This window comes from Homo sapiens, chromosome 15 (assembly GCF_000001405.40).
Source record: "Homo sapiens chromosome 15, GRCh38.p14 Primary Assembly".
Lineage (NCBI taxonomy): Eukaryota > Metazoa > Chordata > Mammalia > Primates > Hominidae > Homo > Homo sapiens.
Genome location: NC_000015.10, coordinates 25,936,093 through 25,959,942, shown reverse-complemented (window position 1 = coordinate 25,959,942; position 23,850 = coordinate 25,936,093). Strand labels below are relative to the sequence as shown.

At 45.3% G+C, this 23,850-nt stretch overlaps 1 long non-coding RNA gene across 1 annotated transcript in view, besides 1 other annotated feature; it reads right to left on the bottom strand.

Annotated features, from left to right (window-relative positions):
- LINC02346 (long intergenic non-protein coding RNA 2346) overlaps positions 1-23,850 on the bottom strand; it is a 150,761-nt gene that overhangs the window by 93,178 nt on the left and 33,733 nt on the right. The window lies entirely within an intron of this gene.
- Positions 16,603-17,103: an enhancer, noted in NCBI's record as "H3K27ac hESC enhancer chr15:26187987-26188487 (GRCh37/hg19 assembly coordinates)". NCBI's record gives its function as "activates a minimal SCP1, AML or CMV promoter by ChIP-STARR-seq in primed H9 embryonic stem cells {active_cell/tissue: H9 hESC(primed)}" and the evidence as "EXISTENCE:reporter gene assay evidence [ECO:0000049][PMID:30033119]".

Below are 23,850 nucleotides of genomic sequence, written 5' to 3'. Positions count from 1 at the left end.
CATTGAGCTTGAAATATTTGTGGCATGGCCCTTGGAAATGTCCAGTAGAAATTTAACACCCGAGGGAAAAGGTAGGGACTCAAGGCAGATGCTTGATCTTGGGTGTTGCTTAGACATCCAGGGAAAATAGTTAGCGCCACCAGCCACCCCACCCTACCTGGGGGAAAGGCAACACATCCTCACCACCAAGAACACAGCCCAACTCCACTCTTCCAGCCCATGGAAGCTGATAGAAAGTGGATGTGGTGTGTCTTTATCCACAGTGGGCAGATGCTTAATTCAAGTAGCAGTAAACCGTTGCCATCATCTGGGAAAGAAAGAGGAGAGAATTTTTTACTCTTCCTCCCCCTATTCCTGCCCTGAGCCTCCCTCTGAGTAAAATAATCTATCACCCTGTTAGCCATGGTTCACTCCAGAGGATGGCCAGATGCTGACTGGGAGGAAACTGGCAGGCAGGGCAGGATGCTTGGGGACATCTCACTCACCACTCCCTCAAAGGTGTGATGAACAAATACCCTCAAGCAATTTCACTCACAGTGACCAGTAGCTGACAAGATTAAACTACACCTGCAATGTTAATTGGTCCAAGTGAGAGACACTGAATGCATGTATAATGATGTGCTCTAAGGGTGGGGCTCCCTGGGAGAGACTTGGAGACTCAGAACTGTGCACAGGAAGTGTGTTGGGCATGCTCAGGAGCAACCCTGGGAGAGGAAACCGCCTTTGCAAAATTATAACTGAGGAAATTATGACAGTGAAAAAAATCAGACCTAACCAACTCCATCTTGCTTCTAACCTTTAAGCTATGCTTTTTCATTCCTGGCCATAGGCCAAACTAACTTTGGGAAGGAATTCAGTTCATGGTTTGACTCTGAAACAAAATTGATAACAGCCCTTTCTCAAAAAGACCCCCTTCTTGCCTGGGGATCAGTCTGCTTTTGCAGGACTAACAAATTAGCTACAAGATTAGAAATTATAGTTTAGGGGTCATGCAGCCTCTGGCTCCAAGAGTCTGAACCTCCCCAAATTGCTCCTAGGGATAAGATCAATGCTTGAGACATTTTGCAGAGCCTGCACTCGATGGATCAGCTTACACCACCCAGACTGATGGTAATCTGGCTCAGCCAGTTCTGCCATCCCATCCAGGAACAGAAGACAGCAAGAGAAACTCACTTCAACCCCCTATAATTCCAACCTGATCAATCAGCGCTTCCCACTTCCCAAGCCCCTACCCACCAAATTATCTTTAAAAACGCTAATCCTTGAATGCTCAGGGAGGCTGATTGGAGTAAGAATAAAATTCCAGTCTCCCGCACAGCTGGCTCTGCATGAATTACTCTTTCTCCATTGCAATCCCCCATCTTAATAAATTGGCTCTGACTAGGCAGCAGGAAAAGTGAACCCATTGGGTGGTTACAGAAGCAGGACAGGGTAGAAGCAGCGAGTGCACAGGGATGCTTCCGTCAGTCCTACAGGGAACTCTGAAGCCTGGCTATTTCTACATAGGGGTCCACCTCAAAGACAAAAAGGCAGGGGCTTTGTAGCCTCCTGTGGGTCAGTCAGGAGCAGATGTGACCTGGATATGTCAGTTCCCCAGTGGATAGTTACCCAAGTCAATGGCCATTGTCCCTTTGAAGAAAGGCTGGACATCACAAGGTCCCTCTGCATGGGGACCCAGCTACTCTTCAGTCAATGGGGTCCACATTTAAGATTCTAGAATAAATAGCTGAGGCATATAACTCTAAGACAAGATAGATAGGTAGGTAGGTAGGTAGGTGGATAGAAATTTTTTCCTGGGTACTTTGCCTCAGAGAATGGATACACAGTATTACTTTCAAAGATTTTACACTTTTTTTTTTTTCAGAGCAATTCAAGCATAGAGAATGAAAACTGGCGATCTTTCTTTCGGCACAAAAGTTCTTTTCATATTTTCTAAGCAGACAAAAAGAAGTCTATGTATTACAAGCACACACCTACCAAACTCTATACATGTATGTATGTGTACGTTACATGTATGTATGTGTATGTGTACGTGTGTCTACAAAAGTTCTCTGAGGAATCTGCTACCACAGAGGCACCTCCCTCCAGGAAGAGTTCTTGTTGCTCAACTGCAAATCTTGAAGTCGGGACCCAGCCGGGGTCCACTCTTCCCACCTCAGCCTCAGTGCTGCGCAGGGGGCAGGTGTGGGGGAGACGTTTTCCTCTGGAAACAGCCCACTTCAAGTTCAACGAAAGCAGCTTCTTCCCTTCCTCTCATATCTCACATACCGTGAAAGAGGAATGTGCTCCTAAATATTGAATCTACAAGGCTGCAGGCATTTTTGGAGAAAAAAATTAGGTACGAGCTTGATAGAGGAATGAAACAACAATGGAGGAGCATGTGTGTATCATGTGCGTGTGTGTGGTGTGTGTGGCATACGTGTGTACTGTGTGCGATGTGTGTGGTGTATGTGGTGTGGTGTGGGGTGTGTGTGATATGTGTGTGGTGTGTATGTGTGTATAGTGTGGTGTGTGTGTGATCTGTGTGATGTGTGTGGTATATGATATGCGTGGTATGTGATGTGTGTGGTGTATGGGGTGTGTGGGTGGTGTGTGTGTATGCCTGATGTGTATGTGTGTGGTGTGTGTGATATGTGAAGTGGTTGATATGCATGTATGTGGTGTGTCTGTGTGTTATGTGTGCTGTGTGTGGTGCTATGTGTGTGGTATGGAGTATGTGTGTGGCGTGTGTGTGTGGTATGTGTAGGATGTATATGGTATGTGTTTGGGGTGTGTGTATGTGTGTGTGTGCCTGATTATGTGTGTGTGTGATGTGAATGTGTGTCTGTGTGGTATATGTGGTGTGTGGTGTGGAGGGGTGTGTGTGTATGTGTGGTATGTATGTCTATGTGGTATGTGGTGTGTGGTGTGGGAAAGTGTATGTGTTGTGTGTGGTATGTGGTGCGTGTACACCTGATGTGTGTGTGGTGTAAGTGTGTGCCTGTGTGGTATGTGGTGTGTGGTGTGGGTGTGTGCACCTGATACGTGTGTGCGTGGTATAAGTATGTGTGTGGTGTGGCGGGTGGATGTGTGGTGTATGGTGTGTGGTGTGGGTATGAGAGTGAATATGGCCCTGATGAGAAACAAAATGAGGGTTCCCCTATGGAGCTTCTGTTCAGTTCCAGCCTGTCATTACGTGAAATCAGCTTCATTTTCTTCTGGCACACGTCTTCTCTCCTATTGTTACTCTAGACCCAAGTTTTACTTGAGTGAACTTATGCGATGGGCATGTGTACAGTGGACCCCTCAGCAGACATCACTTGTTCCGGAACAGACAACCTTTGCTTATGCCGGTGTTGCCCATAGGAGTTACAACAATAATGCAAGAAAAACTAAACTCAAAGATGACGGATTACAGGTGTGATGTAGATTACATAACAGAGTTACTGCATAAAATACAGGAGGCCCAGTTAAATTTGAATTTCAAATACACACACACAAAATTTTAGTGTGAATATACCTTATGCAATATTTGAGACATACCTATACTAAAATATATTTGTTTTGTCAATATGAATTCAACTTTAGTGGGCATCCTATATTTTTATGTGTTAATTCTGGCGATTCTACTATATAATGCTGGTTCTTATTGTGATTGTATAAGAAAGTTGCTGGACTCTAATCAGCAGACCCATACACGAAGGAAATACATTAGCCCAAACATCAAACTTCTCATGAATGAACATACATATGTATGTTTTAGGCTGAAATAAGACCATACAATTTTTTATGATTCCCTACCATAAATGATGTTTTCACTTAACCAACCAACTTACAAGTCAAGTTTGCATCAGCAAAAACAATTTCTGTATATATATTTTTTAATTTTAGAAGTGACCCATTATGTAGAAATGGTGAGATCCTTTCGCTCAATTCTCAATGAGTTGGAGCCAACATTTTGTCTCAATACTGTGCAGTGAAAAGTTCTTTTCAAACTATTGACATCCCCAAAGGTATGCACTTAAGAGCTTGTCCAAGTCTGTCGCTTTCCTATTGGCCTCCACCAGGGAGTGAGTGAGCGAGCAAGACATAACAAGATGCCCCTCAGTTGTGCACTTACTACATATTCATAGCTGCAAATGTCTGGCAAGACAAGGACAAGGCTGCTTAGAAGATGCACAAACAGAAAGCACTAGCCTCATGAATGCCTGGAGGAATTAACTCACATTACCAATCCCCTCCCTCCCATCTCTTCACCCTATAGAAACCAATGTCCACTGAAATCTTTAAGAAATAAACATTTTCTTTAGAAAAAAATTCTGTTTCTAAATATGCATATAAAAATGATCCCTTCACTTAATTTAAAAATATTTTAGTTATGGCTTTACAGAGAATATGTTCCTAATAATGGAGAAAAAAAGAAGTATCTCTATGTAAAATACAGAGAGCAAATAGACTAAAATATAGTGGTTATCACGAAGTGATATGATTGTGGCTGATTTTATTTTCTACTTTTCAAATCTTTATACTTTTTACAATAGATATGTATTAATTTCATAATCATAAAAATGGACCTTGTTTTTAAAACCCACTGTGGTTTTCAAATATGTGTCCTGGTGCAGATACAACCGGTGTTGTCCCCAAGTGCCGGTGCTGCCTCTCCTGGGTACTAGATTTTTTCCATTATCTCCACCTCCAAATCAAAGACTGATGCCCTCCAAGAAAAGCTCTGGAAGTGCTGACAAGCTGCTACCTCAAGGGAGTTCAAGAGCTCCTTGTGTTGAGAAGGAAATAGCTGGAGCACATATATAACCCATCAAGCTGCAGCCTAAAGATAAGATCAAAAAGCAGCCAGAGAATGAAATGGAAGGCTTCCCTGCTTCTTCACACAGGTGAGATTCTCACTTTTCAAGTTCAGAGTAAAATAAGTATTTGAAAGTAGAATCCACACGGGAGAAATTTGGGTTCACATTATTAGTACACTAACAATATGGAAGAGTCTTCAAATCAACTCAGGAAAATGGCTTTAAAAGAAAAGAAAGGTCAGGAGTGACGTCAGCCAGATGATGGAATAGAAACCCCTCACCAGGCTCTTGTTCCCCAGCATAGACACTGACTTAACAACAACATATGGACCAAATTGCTTTTGTCAGAGTTCCAGACCCCAATTAAGAGGTTGCAGCATCCCAGGTGAGCTCAAAGCCAAGAAAAGCTGTGTTGATCCAGGTGGTGAAGTGAGTTGCACTCTGTCTGCCCTGTCCCCTTCCTGGATGCAATATGGTGTAACTGGAAGAAAACTCTGCCCCGGGGCCTTTCCCTCGAGAGAGAAAGAGAAGAGCTGAATTTGTGTCCAGTGTTCTGGATTTTCAAGGGGCTGCCAAGGGGTTAGTGCTGGCCTTGCCTAACTCGAGGTGCAGACAGGGCTCCACTGTACTTTGGATGTCAGACTGGGGACAGCTGAGAACAAGGCCAGCATTGTGGCTTGTTACACCAGAGACACTACAGTATTGCAGACAAGCACCAGGAGGTGCAAGGGATTTTGGACTCCTGAGAAGAAGCACGACAAATCTCTTTTATTGGGAATGAAAGGTTTCAGAGTCCCCAGAATCTCTAGCTAGGCTGATTGGTACAAATCCTCCTGTATATAAAACCAGTTTGTAAAGACTGAGAGGGGTGGCTGGTTTCTTCAAATGCCCAAATCTCAACAAAGGATCACAGGCATATATAGAATAGAGAAAGGTGACCTAGTCAAAGGAACAAAATAAATCTCCAGAAAATGACCTTAAAGATATGGAGATATATGGCCAGCCGCAGTGGTTCACACCTGTAATCCCAGCACTTTGGGAGGCCGAGGCAGGCGGATCACAAGGTCAGGAGATCGAGACCATCCTGGCTAACACGGTGAAACCCATTTTCTACTAAAAGTACAAAAAATTAGCTGGGAGTGGTGGCGGGCGCCCGTAGTTCCAGCTACTGGGGAGACTGAGGCAGGAGAATGGTGTGAATCTGGGAGGTGGACATTGCAGGGAGCCTCAGACTGGGTGACAGAGCAAGACTCTGTCTCAAAAAAAAAAAAAGATATGGAGATATATTAATTACTTGCCAAAGAACTCAAAATAACTGTCTCAAGGGTATTCAATGACCTAAAAGAGAACATAGATGGACAACTTCATAAAATCAGAAAAACACATGAACAAAATGAGAATATCAACAAAGAGATAGAAACTGCAAAAACAACACAGAAATTCTAGAGCTAAAGAATACAATACTTTGGGAGGCCGAGGCGGGTGGATCACGAGGTCAAGAGACAGAGACCATCCTGGCCAACATGATGAAACCCCGTCTCTACTAAAAATACAAAAATTAGCCAGGCATGGTGGTGGGTGCCTATAGTCCCAGCTACTCAGGAGGCTGAGGCAGGAGAATCACTTGAACCCGGAAGGCAGAAGTTTCAGTGAGCCAAGATTGTGCCACTGCACTCCAGCCTGGCGACAGAGAGAGACTCAAAAAAAAAAAAAAAAAGAATACAATAATTGAATTGGAAAATTCACTAGAGGGTTTCAATAACAAACTTGATCAAACAGAAAAAAAGAATCAGCAAACTTTCATATGTCAACAGTGAACTCATTCTTGACAAAGATGCTAAGAGCATACATTGGGGAAAGGACTCTCTTCAATAAATTATACCAGGAAAACTAGATAGCCACATGCAGAAAATGAAACTAGACCCCTATCTCTCACCATATACAAAAAATCAAATCAAAGTGGATTAAAGACTTAAACTTACGACCTCAAACTATGAAGCTACTAAAAGAAAACATTGGGTAAATTCTCCAGCTCATTGGTCTGGGGAAAGATTTTCTGAGTAATACTCCACGAGCATAGGCAACCAAATCAAAAATGGACAAATGGGATCACGTTGAGTTGAAAAGCTCCTGCACAGCAAGGGAAGCAAACCACAAAGTGAAGAGGTAACCCACAGAACGGGAGAAAATATTTGCAAACTACACATCTGAAAAGGGATTCAAAACCAGAATTATGTAACAAGCTCAAACAACTCTGTAGGAAAAAAATCTAATAATCCAAACAAAAAATAGGCAAAAGATGTGAATAGATATTTCTTAAAAAGAGACATACAAATGCAAACAGGCTTGTGAAAAGGTGCTCAACATAACTGATCCTCAGAGAAACGCAAATCAAAACTACAATAAGACACCATGTCACCCCAGTTAAAATGGCTTTTATCCAAACAAATACTGACAAGGATGTGGAGACAAGGGAACTCTTGTACATTGTTGGTGGGAATGTAAATTACCACAGCCACTGTGGAGAGCAGTTTGGAGGTTCCTGAAAAAACTAAAAATGGAACTACCATATGACCCAGTAATCCCACTGCTAGGTTTATACTCAAAAGAAAGGAAATCAATATATCAAAGAGATATCTGCACTCCGATGTTTGTTGCAGCACTGTTCACAATAGCCAAGATTTGAAAGCAATTATCTGTCCATCAATACATAAATGCATAACGAAAATGTGTTATATGTGCAGTACTATTCAGCCATAAAAAAGAATGGGATACTGTCATTTGCAACAACATGGATGGAACTGGAGGTCGTTATGTTAAGTGAAATAAGCCAGGCACAGGAAGACAAACTTCACATGTTCTCATTTATTTGTGGGAGCTAAAAATGAAAATAATTGAACTCGTGGAGATAGGGAGTAGAACGATGGGCCTGGCATGGTGGCTCATGCCTGTCATCTCAGCATTTTTGGAGGCCAAGGTGGAAGGATTGTTTGAGCCTAGGAGTTCAAGACAAGCCTGTGCTACATAGCAAAACCTCACCTCTACTAAAAAATCAAAAACATTAGCCAGGCTTGGTGGCAATGAAATTCAGTGGAACTCATGGGACACCATCAAGTAAGGGGAAAGCTTCATGACAGTGGATTTGGCAGTGATTTCTTGGATATGACACCAAAGGCACAGAAAACAAAAGAAAAAATAGGCATATAAGAATACATTGAACTTTAAAATTTCTGTGCATCAAAGGAAACAATCAAAGTGAAAAGGCAGCTTCTGGTGGAAGAACATATTTGCAAATTGTATATCTAAGGGGTTAATATCCAAAATATTGAAAGAACTACTACAAGCCAACAACAGAAAAACAAATAATCTGATTAAAAATTGGCAAAGAACTTGAATAGACATTTCTCCAAAGAAGATATGCAAATGGCCAACAAGCGTATGAAAAGATGCTCAACATCACTAATCATTAGAAAAATGTAAATTAAAACCACAATGAGCTGTCACCTTATACCCATTAAGATGGCCACTATTAAAATAACAGAAAACAACAAGCACTATCTAGGATGGAGAAATTGAAATCCCTGTGTGCTGTTGGTGGAATGTAAAATGGTATAGCTGCTATAACGAGCAGTATGGAGGTTCCTCAAAAAATTGTAACTAGAAATACCACATGATCCAGCAATCTCATTTCTGGGTATACATCCGAAAGGATTGAAAACAAGATCTCAAAGAAATACTTGCACACGCATGTTAATTGCAACATTATTCACAGTAGCTAAGAGGGAGAAGCAATCCAGTGTCCATAAGTGGATGAAACAATAAAGAAAATGTGGGCCAGATGCAGTGCTTCATATCTGTAATTCCAGAACTTTGGAAGGCCAAGGCAGGAGAATAGCTAGAGCCCAAGAGCTCAAGACAAGCCTGGGCAAAATAGTGAGACCCCATCTCCACACACACACACAAAAAATGTTTTTAATTAGCCAGGCATGGTATCATGTGCCTGTAGTCCCAGCTACTCAGAAGGCTGAGGCAGCAGGATAGCTTGAGAATTGGAGATTCAGACTGCAGTGAGCCACGATCTTGCCACTGCACTCCAGCCTGGGCAACAGAGTGAGATTGTCTCAATCAATCAATCAATCAATCAATGTGGTCTATCCATGCAATGGAATACTATAATATTATTAGCCTTAAAAAAGAAAGAGGCCTTGTCACATGCTACAACATAGATGAACCTTGAAAACATTACACTAGTACTAGTTGAAATGAGCCAGTCACACAAAGACAAATAGTGTATGATTTCTCTTACATTAGGTTCGTAATTAGTCAAACTCATAGAAACAGAAAATAAAATGGTTGTTTCCAGAAGCCAGGGGATAGAGAAATGGGGAGTTGTTGTAGAGTGGATATAGTTTCAGTTCTCCAAGAGGAGCAAGTTCTAGAAACTCATTACTCAACAAATGTATATACTTATCACTACTGCACTGTATACTTACAAATGGTTAATATGGTAAATTTTATGTTGTGCATTATCACCATAATATTTTTAAAAGAAGGGGCTTGTGTTTCCCTTTTGTGATCACCCATTTTTCACTTCAGCATTTTGAACTTTAGGTTTCCTGTAGCTGTTTTCCTGACCCCTGGAGATACCGGGCTCAGAATGTCTCCAGCACCTTGTAGGCAGATACTTCTCAGCATCTTATTGGGCTCTGTGTGCTTGATGCTTAAAGTGACATGGAGACATGCCACTTGCTGAGAGGCAAAGAAAGGCAAAAGGTGACTGCTTTCCTGGCTTCAATGAAGGCAGAGAGAAGGGATATTGGAGGCACAGATGTTAAGGCATAAGCAATACCAAGAGTTGCCAACAGAAGAATTAACCCCTGTCCTGGTAACATTTGCAGGTGTTTTTCACAGGGCCAGTGGATTTCATGTGAGTGCTGTCCAGCACCAAAGGAAATGGCCAACACACATGGAGCAGCCTGCAGCGTCCAGCACCAAGGAGGGTGGCCAGCAGGCATGGCGCAGCCTGCCTGTCCCAGGAAAGCAGGAGTCACAGGACACACTGGACCCAGGTAAACATGTATATTAGTTTCCTGTGGCTGTTATAGCAAATTACCAAAAATTTCATGACTCAAAACAACAGAAATTTATATTTTCTCACAGGTTTGGATTCCAGAAGTCCAAAATTAGTATCACTGGCCTGAAATCTAAGTATCAGCAGAGCCAATGCTCTCAGAGGCTGAGGGGAAAATCCATCCTCTGACTTCCTCAGCTTCTGATGGCTGCTGGCATTCATTGTCTTGCAGCTCCACCACTCCAGGCTCTGCCTTCTTGGTCACAGGGCCTCCTCCTCTTCTGTCTGAAGTTAAATCTCCTTTATCTCCCTCTTATAAGGATATATGTGCCAGGATTTAATGCCCACGGAGACAATCCAGGATAATCTCTCCTCAAGATCTTTAACTTAATCATACCTGAAAATATGCTTTTTCCAAATGAGGTAATATCTACAGGTTCTAGGAATTAGGACTTAATTATTAGCTCCCACTTATAAGTGAGAACATGCAGTATTTGGTTTTCTGTCTCTGTGTTAGTTTGCTTAGGATCATGACCTCCAACTGCATCCATGTTGCTGAAAAGGACATCATTTAGTTCCTTTTTATGGCTGTATAGTATTCCATTGTGTATATGTGCCACATTTTCTTAAAAAGAGATTTATTATGGGGTCCTGGCTTACATGATTATGAAGGCAAAGAAGCTGCCATCTGGAAGCTGGAAGACTCAGGAAAACTGGTGATTTAATTCTGTCCAAGTCAGAAGGCCTGAGAACCAGGAGAGCTGATGGTGTACATCCCAGTCCCAGGGGAGGAGAAGATAAGATGGGATGTCCCAGCACACCCAAAGAGGTAGAAAGAAAGGGGGCAAATTCCCCCTTCCTCCTTTTGTTCTACTCAAGCCCTCACCAAGTTGGATGATGCCCATCTCCATGGGGCCATCTATGTTACTGAATTCACTGACTCAAAAGCTAATGTCATCTGGAAACACTCACAAACACACCCAGAAACTATGTTTAATCTGAGCACCCTGTGGCCTAGTCAAGTTGGCATATAAAATTAACCTTCACAGTGTAATCCCAGGACTTTGGACAGCCGAGAATGGCGGATCGCTTGAGCTTGGGAGTTTCAGACTGGCCTGGGCAACTTGGTGAAACCTGGTCTGTTTCTTTTCATTTATTTATTTATTTTTGAGACAGAGTTTCACTGTTGTCGCCCAGGCTGGATCTCTTGTTGCAGTGGCACGATCTCAGCTCGCCACAACCTCTGCCTCCCGGGTTTAAGTGATCCTCGTGCCTCAGCCTCCCAAGTGGCTGGGATTCCAGGCGTGAGCCACCATGCCCGGCTAATTTTGTATTTTTATTTTATTTTTTTTTGGTGGAGATGGGGTTTCTCTATACTGTTTGGGCTGGTCTCCGTGCTCCGCCTGCCTCAGCCTCCCAAAGTGCTGGGATTGCAGGCGTGAGCCAACACTCCCAGTCAAGACCCGGAATGGAAAAACAAAACGAAAACCACAAAGATTAACCAGGCATAGTGGGCCGCACGGGTATCCCAGATACTCTGAAGGCTGATGTAGGAGGATTGCTTGAGCCCGAGGGCCCGGGGGTCAAGGTGGCAGTGAGCTGTGATGGCGCTGCTGCACTCCATACTGGGCGACAGAGCGGGACTCTGTCTCAGGAAAAGGGAAAGAAAAAAAAAGAAAGTAAATAAAATTGCTAAATCAAGGAACAGCTTGACAGTAATTATTGACAGAAATAGGGGCAAAAGTTAGCAGACACCAGTGTTCACTTAGTGGGAACTGCAGGTGTCCCCAGACAGGAGGCTGCTACTTCTCCAAAAGAAATCTATTATTGACTACCAATAAAAAAATACACTGTAGATTTGTTATGATACACAAATGGCTAAACTTTATATAGCCACGACAGTATTCTAGCACTGCTCTAAGCCTTTTCCTGCTCTGGAATAGCTACTATTGTTACCTCCATTGTACAGAAAACAGATGCCAGAGGGAGGACCATGGAAACTATGAAATTGACTTGTAAGTTTTGGACCTAAAGGTTCTTCCTGCTCTACTCCTTACATCGCCACATTTTAGTTAACATATCTCTTAAAATACTGGTCCTTTCTATATTTAGAGGGACTCCTCTTGCAATTTGAAGTGTTTTTTTGCACTAAGCATTTGGTCATAAGATCATCTGTGATTCATGTCAGTTTAAGTACCTCTTTAGACATTGTTCAGTTAGGAATGTAAATAGGAGCTAGCATTGTGTGTAAAAGGAAAGAACAGCTGCTTACAACCATTTTTGTTTCATAATACAAATGTAAATCAATATGTTATTGGAAATGCAGGCTGGGAGGGGAGGGGAAAAATGCAGAGAGAAAAGCCCCATCTCTGCTTGGAGTTCAGCACTGGGTCTCTTTTCCCTTCCACCTTCCTTGTCAAGGCTGCCACAGTGACAGAAGCACACAGGGCTGCCTTTTAGTGACACCTGCTGGGACAGACCTGGCAGAAGGGATTGCACATTTGCATGTTTCCTGGCTGCCTCTGTTAGCCCCTGAGTCAGCAGCCCACTCCAATTCATGCTGAGCTTGGACAGCTCGGGTTTGAAAAATTCCCCCTTCCCTTGGAGCAACCGCTTTCCAGCCTCCTCATCATTCCAAAAGGAGAATGACCTACATGCCAGCATGACAGAGATCTGGAAATTTATAGAAGCTCCATTGTGAGCCTAAATCCTTAACAGGGGCTCAAACTGCCAACACCGAATGAACAGAGAGGTTTTGCAATAAAGCAGGAAGTCATTAAAATAATGAATCACCCGGCTGGGTTTTGAGCTCCTTTCCCACTAATTTAATGGAAAGATTTATTGTCTTTACAATGTATACTTTCAGAAATTTTGCATAAATTTATTATTTACATTTTAACATAAGTAACTCCTTTGTGTTTTATCACTGAGCAAATTCTATGTAGCAAACCAATGCTATATTTTGGCAAACTCACATTATAGCTTAGAAAATACTAAAGACCCATTGTAAACTGAGGGCAGCATTAAGCAAATTATACTTACCTTTGTGACTACAAAACTTAATGATTCAATGCTTTTCCTGTGAAATTTGTCTTTCAATGCTGATAGTCTTTTAATAAAAAATGTCAATTAAATATTTTCATATTTTCTCTTAATGCAAATATACAGAAAATAAATTTTATCTTAAAAGGTAGTGTTTCTCATGGGAGAAGAAATAAATTTTTTAGTTGCTTTCTCAACCAAGTATGTGAAAGGAAGTTGTTTCCCTTTATATTTTAATAATTAATTTAGTCAAGGCCATATTTGGAGCAAGACTGTTTCACTTTCGCAGTAGTAGAATTTTCAGTGTTTTATGTCTCCATTCATAGCCCATGACACGAGGTTTACTAGCTCCCCATTTTTGCTACGCTAAACAGGGATGCGTTTCCAGGAAGAGGAGTGCTGGGCACCAGGCAGGACTCTGGCGGCCCCACATGGCACTGGTCTCAGGATACACGGGCTGGAGGAAGCATCCGACCCGGCACTTCCTGTCCTGAGCCTGTTGTCTGATCCTCTGTAGGTTCTGCTTCCTTCCTGTCTTGGAGGGCTTGGGCAGGAGGGCGGCAGCCCTCCTAGAAGGGGCGCTCCTATGTGGAGGGGACGCTCTGCGCGGTCCGGGCCGTGGGGTGTGGGTTCTGTGTCCTGGCCTGAGCCTCTCCCAGGAAGCGACAGCATGGAGCCGGGGATCTGGTGAGGAGGTGAGGAGCGGAGATTGTTAGCCGCCTCCCTTTAAGGGCAGACACTAAAAAGAAAAGACGTTTGTGCAGAAAGGCCCCGCCCATGGCCTCCTGCCCACCTGGAGCTTGGAAACTCCCAGGGAAAGGCCCTGGAACAAATGCAGGCAAATGTGAGGATGCTCAGGCTCAGCTCTGCAAGGAGAGAACGAGCTTTCGGGTCACCATGGAGGAGTGGGCCTCACTGGTCAAGCCTTCCCCACTCTCAGCCTCAGTTTCCCCGCAGAGTGGGAAGGCCAAAGAGACTGTCAGCAAAGGGCCTGTGCAGGAGCCACAGTCGTGGTCAATACATAGTTGCCAGGTGCCAAGCGTTGCCTGAAACCAGACTCAACTATGCAAGAAATAGCAAGCCAGCAGACCCGGCTGCAGGATCTACAGGGCCTGTGCAAAGTGGAAACGCAGAGACACTTTGCGAAAGTCATTGTGAAATTTAAGACACCAACAGGAGAGGATTGAACACAGCAGGAACCCTCTGAGGGCTGAGCTCTGTGCAGCAGCACAGGTGGGACACTCATGACAGAGCCTGCCATCCTTTAATTTTTCTCTAAGTATTTTCCACAAAATGAATAGACGTCCCAATCTCTACTGACAGGAAGGAGGTTCAGTCTCTGATTTTGAGAACTGCCCTGCCCTCCGCCCACTGCTCACACAGGGCTATGCCAGGCCAGGTGTCCCATCACGTGGGACAAGCCTGCAGGATCCCTGGGCCTGGCCTCCAGCTCCTTCAGGCCCATTCCCTCTCAGGCCCTCCCACCACCTTGGGGATATAGAAACTGCAGGCCACAGCTGCTCCTGGGACCGACCAGCATCTCCCCTCACCTGTGCAGAAGCCTGTAGCTCCTGCCTGGAAATTTCAGAGCTGGCTTTCTCTCCACCTGACATGAGCTGAAAGGCCCATATAGCAGAATCATTCCCAAACAGCAAACTACACCCCCTCCCCAACCTTCACATTCTCTCCCAAGTTGAGGAACCCGCTTAGGAACAGCAAAGAAAGGGAAGAAAAAGCAAACACAGGAGTTTGCCTATAAAAACCGCCTGAAACCGAGCTTGCAGTGAGCCGAGATCGCACCACTGCACTCCAGGCTGAGCGACAGAGCGAGACTCCGTCTCAAAAAAAAAAAAAAAAAAAAAAAAACCGTCTGAAAGTCCTGAACCCAGGAGGCGGAGCTTGCAGTGAGCCAAGATGGCTCCACCGCACTCCAGCCTGGGCGACAGAGCAAGACTCCGTCTCAAAAAAAAAAAAAAAAACCGCCTGAAAGTTTACCTCCTGCCCCACCGTGATTGAGAGCAGACCCTTAACTCTCCCAGGACAACTGCTCTGGTTGTGTTGACTTCACATTCTGGCATCTGAGGCCGCTCGGAAGGCGTGGGACACAGACCACCACAGCGCAATGAGGACTGAATGGGGTCCATGGTCTTGAGAAATAAACACCCTCAGGAAAAAAAAAAAAACTCAGAAGGAAGGTCCTCTCAGATGAGAAGGGGTAAAAGTCCTTCTCCCTCCACATGGATCCACATCCCAGAGACTCTAGCCTGGCTTGGGAAAGCTCCCACAAGAGAGGCCAGCCCACACAGGTTATCTCATTTTTGTTCTTAGCTCTTGAGAGATGACAACCTGCTAACAGTCCTCGCTTGCTCTGGGCGTCTGCTCGGCCTCCTGGCCACGCTGGAGGAGCCCTTCAGCCCACAGCTGCGCTTTGGGGGCCCCTCTCTGGGGCTGGCGGAGGCCCGAGTGGGCTCCCTCTGCTGGCGGGGAGGTGTGGAGGGCGAGGGAAGGGCAGGAGATCCGGGCAGCGCTGGCTGGCCAGCGCAGGTTCAGGGTGGGTCCCGGCGTGGTGGGTCCCGGCTCACTGGGCCCCGCACTCCGTGCCACTGGCTGCTGCTGGGCTTCATCAGAGGCAGGGTCCTCTGTGTGGACTGCCTTTCCCTCTTGGAGGGGTCATTGGCTACGATAGCGGGTTTCCCTCTCTTTGTTGCTTCCTCTCTTTTCCTCTGCTTCCTCTGGGCTGCTGGAGTGCCCAGGCTAGGTACGGCAACGTTGGGCAGCGAGTACCAGTGAGAGATGAAGCCTGGCTTCTGGGATGGGTGGGGACTTGGAAAACTTTTCTGGCTAGCTAAAAGATTGTAAATGCACCAATCAGCACTGTGAATCTAGCTAAAGGTTTGTAAACATGCCAATCAACACTCTGTCAAAACGGACCAATCAGCTCTCTGTAAAAAGGACCAATCAACTCTCTGTAAAATGGACCAATCAGCTCTCTGTAAAATGACCAATCAGCAGGATGTGGGTGGGGCCAAATAAAGGAATAAAAGCAGGCCGCCCGTACCGATAGCAGCCACCATTCCCGTTTTATTCACCGCTGTAGAGGTGTTATTCTTTCGCTTTTCTGCTGGTTGCTGTGTGGTTCCACGGCTCTTTTATGAGCTGTAACTTCACCACAAAGGTCTGCGATTTTATTTTTGAGGTCAGCAAGGTCACTGACCCAGTGGAAGGAGGAACACCAGATCTGCCACCTTTAAGAGCTATAACACCTTTAAGAGCTATAACACTCACTGCCAAGGTCTGCAGCTTCACTCTTGAAGTCAGCAACACCAGGAACTCACCAGAAGGAGAAAACTCTGGACACACCTGAGCATCTGAAAGAATGAACTGGGGACATGAAACTTTAAAAACTGTAACACTCACCGTGAGGGGCCATGGCTTCATTCTTAAAAGTCAGTGAGAGCAAGTACCACACTACTTCTAGACACGCTAAGATCCTTCCCCTTGGGCTCTGTGCAAAACCTTGGAAATGTCACGTTTAAATATTTCAATGTGGTCTCTTGTGTGGAGGTGGGATACTGGACATGGAGGGAGAGCTGGGTTTCCATCTTTCAGCTTCAGGAATTGAAGGAAAAGAGGGTGTGCATCTGAGCAAAGTGGGAACAAGCAGCACCACTTGCTCGGACAACCTTATGACTCAGGAGGGCACGTGAGCACATAACACACTGCAGTCTCTCTTAAGGGAGGCTTTCCAGCGCCTCCAGCCACAGTGGAGGTTCCGTTCCTCTCCCAGAAGCCCATGAAGGTTTCTGCCAGACCCCCAAAAGCAGACAGGACCCTCACGTGTGGGGTGGGGTGTACATGGAGCAGGCAGCATTACTGCAAGATGTGGACAGGATTCTTTTTCAATTTCAGGTAAAGGTGGGGTTCCAGGAGCACTGCAGAATGGGCCCTCACGGCAGTGTCAGGGAAGATTCGTCTCAAAAGATGTTGCCTGGGTGGTAACAAAGGCCTGGCCAGGGACAGGCTGGGGCCTGCAACTGGGTCATCTGTCCTATCCTAGCCTGAGAACAGGACCAATTTAGTGCCCGTCAGAGTTTGCCTTAGAACGGAGATGGGGCCGCAGGTGAAGGCGGAGCGGCAGGTAGTATTCCTCTGGCTTTCCAGCTGAGGAAAGCTCTGTCTCAGGTCTGGGGAACTGTCCGCGGTTGTCGTTTTCCAGGGTTGGTATGTCCAGGCAGTGCCCAGGCTTTTCCTTTCTGCCCAGCTGCCATGCCCAGGAAAAAAAAAGCTAAAGTCACAACTGTGATCTGCGTGATTTTTTTTTTGTCTTTGTTCAACTTTTCTATCACCCCTGTTCCAGAAACTCCTACATATGGCAGAGTGCTTTCCACTGAGCTCCCTTTTGAGTAGCTGGTCACCGTGCAAGGTTTTAATGAGGCACAGCCATGCACACGGTGAATTTTCACACCATTTCACTTTAAAGCAGAGCCACACGTGAGCTCGGACGGTAGGGGGTTTCTGGTAAGGAAAAGAGAAAACAAAGTCTCAGAAGCTGCAACGACAGGCCTCAGGGAAAATTGAATCGCCCTTGTCAAAAAGCAAACAGATGACTCCTTACAAATATAGAATGGACGTGTGTTGCTGCTTTATTTAACTCATCAGTGAAGAGTTCACCAGGAAGGCAAAGTTGGTTCAAACGGAGTTCATGGAACAAGGTCTAGAGCATCAATCGGAAAGGAAAGAGGAAAAATGTCACTGAAATAAGTTTGCCAAGTGGTGGCAAACCTGGCTAATGTCCTGAAGTGGCAAAAGGAAAAAAAAAAAAATAAGACTGAACAAAATGCTGAAGGCTTTGATATGATCTTCTCCACTGGACACCAATAGTTTGCATCTCTACTGACCAAGAGCAAGTTCACCAGTCACCTCACAGGCTTTAGGCTTGAATGGTGCAGAATTTAAAATGACCCCAGGGCTTTTCACCTTAATCCCTGGGACAGCAAACATGATGAAGCACCTTGCTCACAGTTACGCTCTCTTACCTGGCAAAGGGTATTTTGCAGATGTAATTAAGGTTACCAAATTACTTGACTTTGAAGTCATCAAAAGGGGGATTGTCTGGGTGGGCCTCATTTAATCACTCTTGCCTTAAAGGCCAAGAGTTTTCTCCAGCTGGTGGCAAAAACAAAAGTCAGTAGGTGGAGGTGGGTGCGGGGGTATGCATGAGTTGGAGGTTCTAGGTTGTTGGGATAGAGGGGCCATGTAACAAGAACCTGAGAGCAACCTGAGGGAGCTGAGAACCAGGCTGGTGACTGGGAAGGAAATGGGACCTTGATTCTACAATTCCACAAAACCTGCCAACAACCTGGATATTACCCAAAACTAGAGAAAACAAACAATAATTAAATAAAGCGGGGCAAGACGTGCAAGAAGAGCTCATCTCACAGTTCATTCCTAGCCTTCCCAGCTGGCTTCCAGATCCCACGATCTCTGCATCATCCCAAAGAGAAACACACTTGACAGGACACCCTACCATCAAATCAAGCTTGTGTTTTTCAGATATTTTTGACCAACACCTACATCATAGGAAATATACTTAAAATTGTAACCCAATACATGTGCGCATGCATACACACACACACAGACCACGCACTTGAAGCTAAAGTTTCACAAAAAATACCTGATATGATGTGCTATAGGCCGAATTATGTCCCTCCTGCAAAATTCATATGTTGAAGCCCCGACCCCCAGGACCTCAGCATGTTCCCTCATTTGGAGAGGGGGGTCTTCATAGAGGTAAGTTGAAATGAACTCATATGGGTGGGCCTTAATCCGGTAGGACTGGTGTCTTTATAAGAAGTGGAGATGAGGACAGACAGATGCAGGGGAATGACCATCAGAGGACACAGGGGGAAGGCATCTTGCTGTCTACAAGCCAGGGAGAAGGCCTCGGAAGGAACCAACCCTGCAGGCACCTTGATGTTGAATCTACAGGCTTCAGAACAGTGAGACAATCCATTTCTGTTGTGTAAGCCCTCCAGTCTATGGGACTTTGTTACAGCAGCCCTAGCAAACCTAATGCATGGTGCATTCCAATAGTTTCTACTCTATTCCTTTTGTTTCTTCTTTAATGCTGTTTGAAACAAAATCGATTCTAGGATCACAAATAGACCACACATGCAGGTTGAAGAACTGAGAGCAGTCTAAGATCCATTTTCTACACCAGTAATTGAACACGTGTTACTAATAGCTTCAGAAATGAAAAAGTCTATATACGTATATATATCCAAAACAGAGAATCACCTTGAGGGAGGGAGTCTAAATATAATGGCTTTAACAGAGGAAATGAATTTCTCCAATCATCCCTGACACAAACATAATGAATGATACCTTCCAACGCTCTTTGAAAAAGTAAATGAACTCGAGTTTAAGGAGAGTAAAGCAATTTTTCCAGCTCTTTCTGAAGCAATGATCAAGAAAGGTCTTGGTATTTCCATGTCACGCTGCAGAGAAGAAAGCCAGGAGTCAGCCAGGATCGAGCCACTAGGCTTGTGCTGTCCATTCTGAAAATTTTGGGAAAGAAGAGTGGGTACCTCTGGGGCTGGGAGAAATCTCTTCTCTACCAGAAAGGCAAGAAATTATGCCAAGCGGGGTGTGGTGGCTCATGCTTGTAATACTAAAACTCTGGGAGGCTGAGGTGGGAGGATTGCTTGAGCTCAGGAGTTTATCAGCCTGGGCAACATAGTAAAAACCTGTCTCTACAATTTTTTTTTTTAGTTAGCCAGGCTTGGTAGTGTGTGCCTGTGATCCCAGCTACTCAGGGGGCTGAGGTGGGAGGATTGCCAGGAAGTCAAGGCTGCAGTGAGCTGTGATTGTGCCTCGGCACTCCAGCCTGGGTGACAGAGTGACAAATTGTACCCAAATCACGTGAAAACTTACAGTATTTCTAAGAGTAGAGTATTGGCAAAATGACACAGTCCTGCTTCCAGGAATGCTAGAAAACCATGATCTTGGAGTAAATATCATCGTCATCCTCCGCATCACATACTGCATGTAATGGGAGGGATTAGAATAGTCATGAGAATATGTGTCTGGAATTTCACAGCTTAGTAAACACGTCCCACAGATAGTATGTTGAAGCCTATTGGCTCTTTCATGAGTCGGGTGTTGGTGCACAGAGGGTCCAGGCCTGGAGAATGGGGAGCGGGCCCCATGCTCTGGAGCCAGGTGGGTGTGAGGGCCTGGGCCACATGGTGGGTGCACCCTATCCTAGCCCAAACCCGCGGTGAGCCTCTACTTCCTGGGGCTCACTTTGTACTGAGGGCAAGATAACATTGCTTCAAGCTGCAGTGAGAAGTAAATATATTAGTCCTGGGAAGCACTTAGAATGGTGCACAGCCCCCACCCCCACCCCATCTAACCCCCACTGCCCCTGTCCCTCCTTCCGCCCCACCCCACTGTTTCTGTCCCGGGGTGTCAGTCTTTATTATTTGAACACGAAACACCCAAGGCCCTTGTGAAAATGCAGGTTCTGTTTCAGCGCCTGGGGTGAGGCCTGAGATTGCACTTTCTTAACCAGCTCCCAGGTGATGCTAAGGACACTGGCCTGTGGGCCTTGTTTTGGGTAGCAAGTATCTAGAACATGCAACAGAAACTGCTTGTTCCTCAGAGACAGAAGAGGTTGAGTATGGTTAACCATTTTTACATATGTGTTTTTTTAAAAAACACGCTTGGATGCCACCGTGCAGGAAGTACAAACCAAGGGCTGGGTCAAACCTCCTGGCCAGGCAGCTTGGACAGAAACATAATGAGAAGCATCTGGGCTTCATGCAGCTGTGACTGAGGGGACTCTCTGAGCCCTCACTTCCAGGGCTGCAGGTCATGCACCCAGCCCAACCGCAGCTTCTGCTCAGCTGGTGAAGCTTACAGGCTGTGAAAGTTAGTGAAATGCTTTGTGTTCAATCGCCTGGGGTAGGCTTCAGGTATCCAAACTGGGGTCGGGGGGGGGGGGCGGCGGGGGGGCAGGGCTAAGGCTGGAGCAGAGGCAGCTTTGCCATGGAAGCTGAGGGACCCCCTACTTTGGGATGCCCTACGGCTCTTGCACCTGGGTCCTTACTGGCATTTTTTCCAAAAACCAACCACATTTCAGAAAGCATCACAAATACCCACCCCTAGCTCTGCCACACTCGCTAACCAAAATGTTTTCCTGCCCAGTTTCATCCTTCACCCTGCCCCCTCCCCCCTCCAAAACTTGGTGGGCCATGCTTCTGGGAGAGTGAAACTCTTCCATTTTATTTATTTATTTATTTTTATTTTTTTGGTTTTTTGGGTTTTTGTTGTTTTTTGTTTTTTTTTTTTTTTTGAGACGGAGTCTTGCTCTGTCGCCCAGGCTGTAGTGCAGTGACGTGATCTCAGCTCACTGCAAGCTCCGCCTCCCGGGTTCACGCCATTCTCCTGCCTCAGCCTCCCGAGTAGCTGGGACTACAGGCGTCTGCCACCACGCCCGGCTAATTTTTTGTATTTTTAGTAGAGACGGGGCTTCACCGTGTTAGCCAGGATGGTCTCGATCTCCTGACCCCTGGATCCGCCCGCCTCAGCCTCCCAAAGTGCTGGGATTACAGGCGTGAGCCACCGCGCCTGGCTGAAACACTTCCATTTTAAAATCATACCATTTCCCTATAGCACATCCCGAATGCTCTCACCCCAGAAGGCAGGAGGGGAGCGCCAGAGCAAGACCCGGGTGCCCATGTGCACAGGGGCACGATGCCCAGCAGGTGGAGGCAACCCACATGTCTATGGAGGGATGAGCGGATATGCACAATGTCTATGCACACAGTGGAGCGTCATTCAACCTGGAAACAGAAGGGAGTTCTGACACATGCTACACTAAGGATGAACACTGAGGACATGATGCTACTGAAATAAGCCAATCACAAAGTAAAATTCCTGTGTGAGTCCACTCACATGAGGCACCTAGAGGCATCAAGCTCATAAAGACAGAGTCTTTGGGGGGGAGAAAAATGGTATTTAATGGGGACAGATTTTCAGTTTTGCAATATTAAAGAGTTATTGAGACTGGTTACACAACAGTATGGAATGTGTTTAATCCCACTGTACTCTACACTTAAAAGATGGCTAAAATCAGTGCTTTGGAAGGCTGAGGTGGGAGGATCACTTGAGGCTAGGAGTTTGAAAGCAACCCAGCAACAGAAACCATGAAATCTCCATCCAAGGAATACCCTCCACAACCTACCCCAAACCAACATGAAAGTGAGGTTGTGTGAAGGTGCGCTTGCTCTTCAGACACCTCAGCACAGTCCTCTAACTTCCTTCCAAGTGGATTGCTATCATCTCTACAAAAATTTAAAAATTAACTGGGCATGGTGGCGTGTGCCTACAGTTCCAGCTACTGGGGAGGCTGAGGTGGGAGGATAGCTTGAACCTGGGAGTTCTTAGGCTGCAGTGAGCTGTGATCACACCACACCGCGGCAGCCTGGGAGGAAGCAAAATCTTGTCTCAAAAGAAACCAAAAAAGGCTAAAATGGTAAACTTTATGTTATGTATATTTTACTAAAATTTAAAAAAAATATTTTTTTAAAAGAATTCTTCAAGGAGTCCTCCCTTAGGATATGATGGGCCTAGAATCAAGATCTCTCTTCCCTTCTGGGGAGTGTTTCTTGTTTCCACCAGGGGCTCATCAGAGGTGGCGTGAAGCAGGACATACACAGAACTGTGAAATCTCCATCCAAGGAATGCCCCCCACATGCTACCCCAAACCAACATGAAAGTGAGGTTGTGCAAAGGGGAGCTTGCTCTTCAGACACTTCAGTGCAGTCCTCTAACTTCCTTCCAAGTGGGTCACAGCATCTGATGCCCTATGGAGCTGGTCCTGCACCTTCCATGTTGGGGGTGTCATAGTCTGTGTGTGCAGCTGTAACAAAATACTGCAGACTGGGTAATTCATAAAGAACAGAAATTTATTCTTTCACAGTTCTGCAGGCTGGGAAGTCCAAGATCCAAGCACCAGCAGGTTCGGTGCCTGGCGAGGGCCCAGGTCTCCGCTTCCAAGATGGTGCCTGTTGCTGCGTCCTCCAAAGGAAAGGAAGGTTGTGTCACCACATGGTGGGAGGCAAAAGGGCAAGCCAGCTGAATGCTCTGTGAGGCCCCTTTTATGAGGGTCTGATCCCACTCAAGAAGAAAGAGCCCTCGTGGTCTAATCACCTGCAAAAGTCCCTCCTCTTAATACTATCACATTGGCCATTAAGTTTCCACACCTGAATTTTGCAGGGGACACATTCAAACTGTAGCAGAGGGCCTCACAGCCAAGCAAAAGTTCACTTGATTAAATATATACATCTTGGTACTGTAATCCTGTTATATATCAAATACAGGCAGAACTGGGGAAAATCAGGATATGTTTTTTGGGGATAAGAAGGATAAAAGTCCAACCTTATGTAGTAAGACATTTTATCCTTAACTGGCCAAATGATAATTCTTCCCTACTGAAATCAGTTACTATATCTATCTATCTATCTATAATCTATCTATCTATCTATCTATCTATCTATCTATCTATCTATCCATCTACTTATCTATCTACCTATCAATCTAAGCTGCTGGCTTAAAATGTGTCTTACTTGAAAGCTCTCTCAGACCACAGTGTGGGACAGAGGCCTCCATGAGTGCTTCTCACACCAGCACAGAACTTTCTATTATTCGTACGTGGAGGATGTCAAGTTTATTCTTATGAAAAGAAATTGTTCGCAGGAAAGTCACAGGTTTTAAGAGAAATGAAATCATGACGCCCATGAGTTGCGCATTTAGAATGCTAGCGGTTTCTTCAGGAGTCTGTGACAAATTGTCGTGTCATCAGGCTATCACATGCTCCATCTGCCTTCCTAGACTCTTACAGAATTCCCAGACCAGGATAGATCCCATTCTCCTTTTCTACATCTTCCC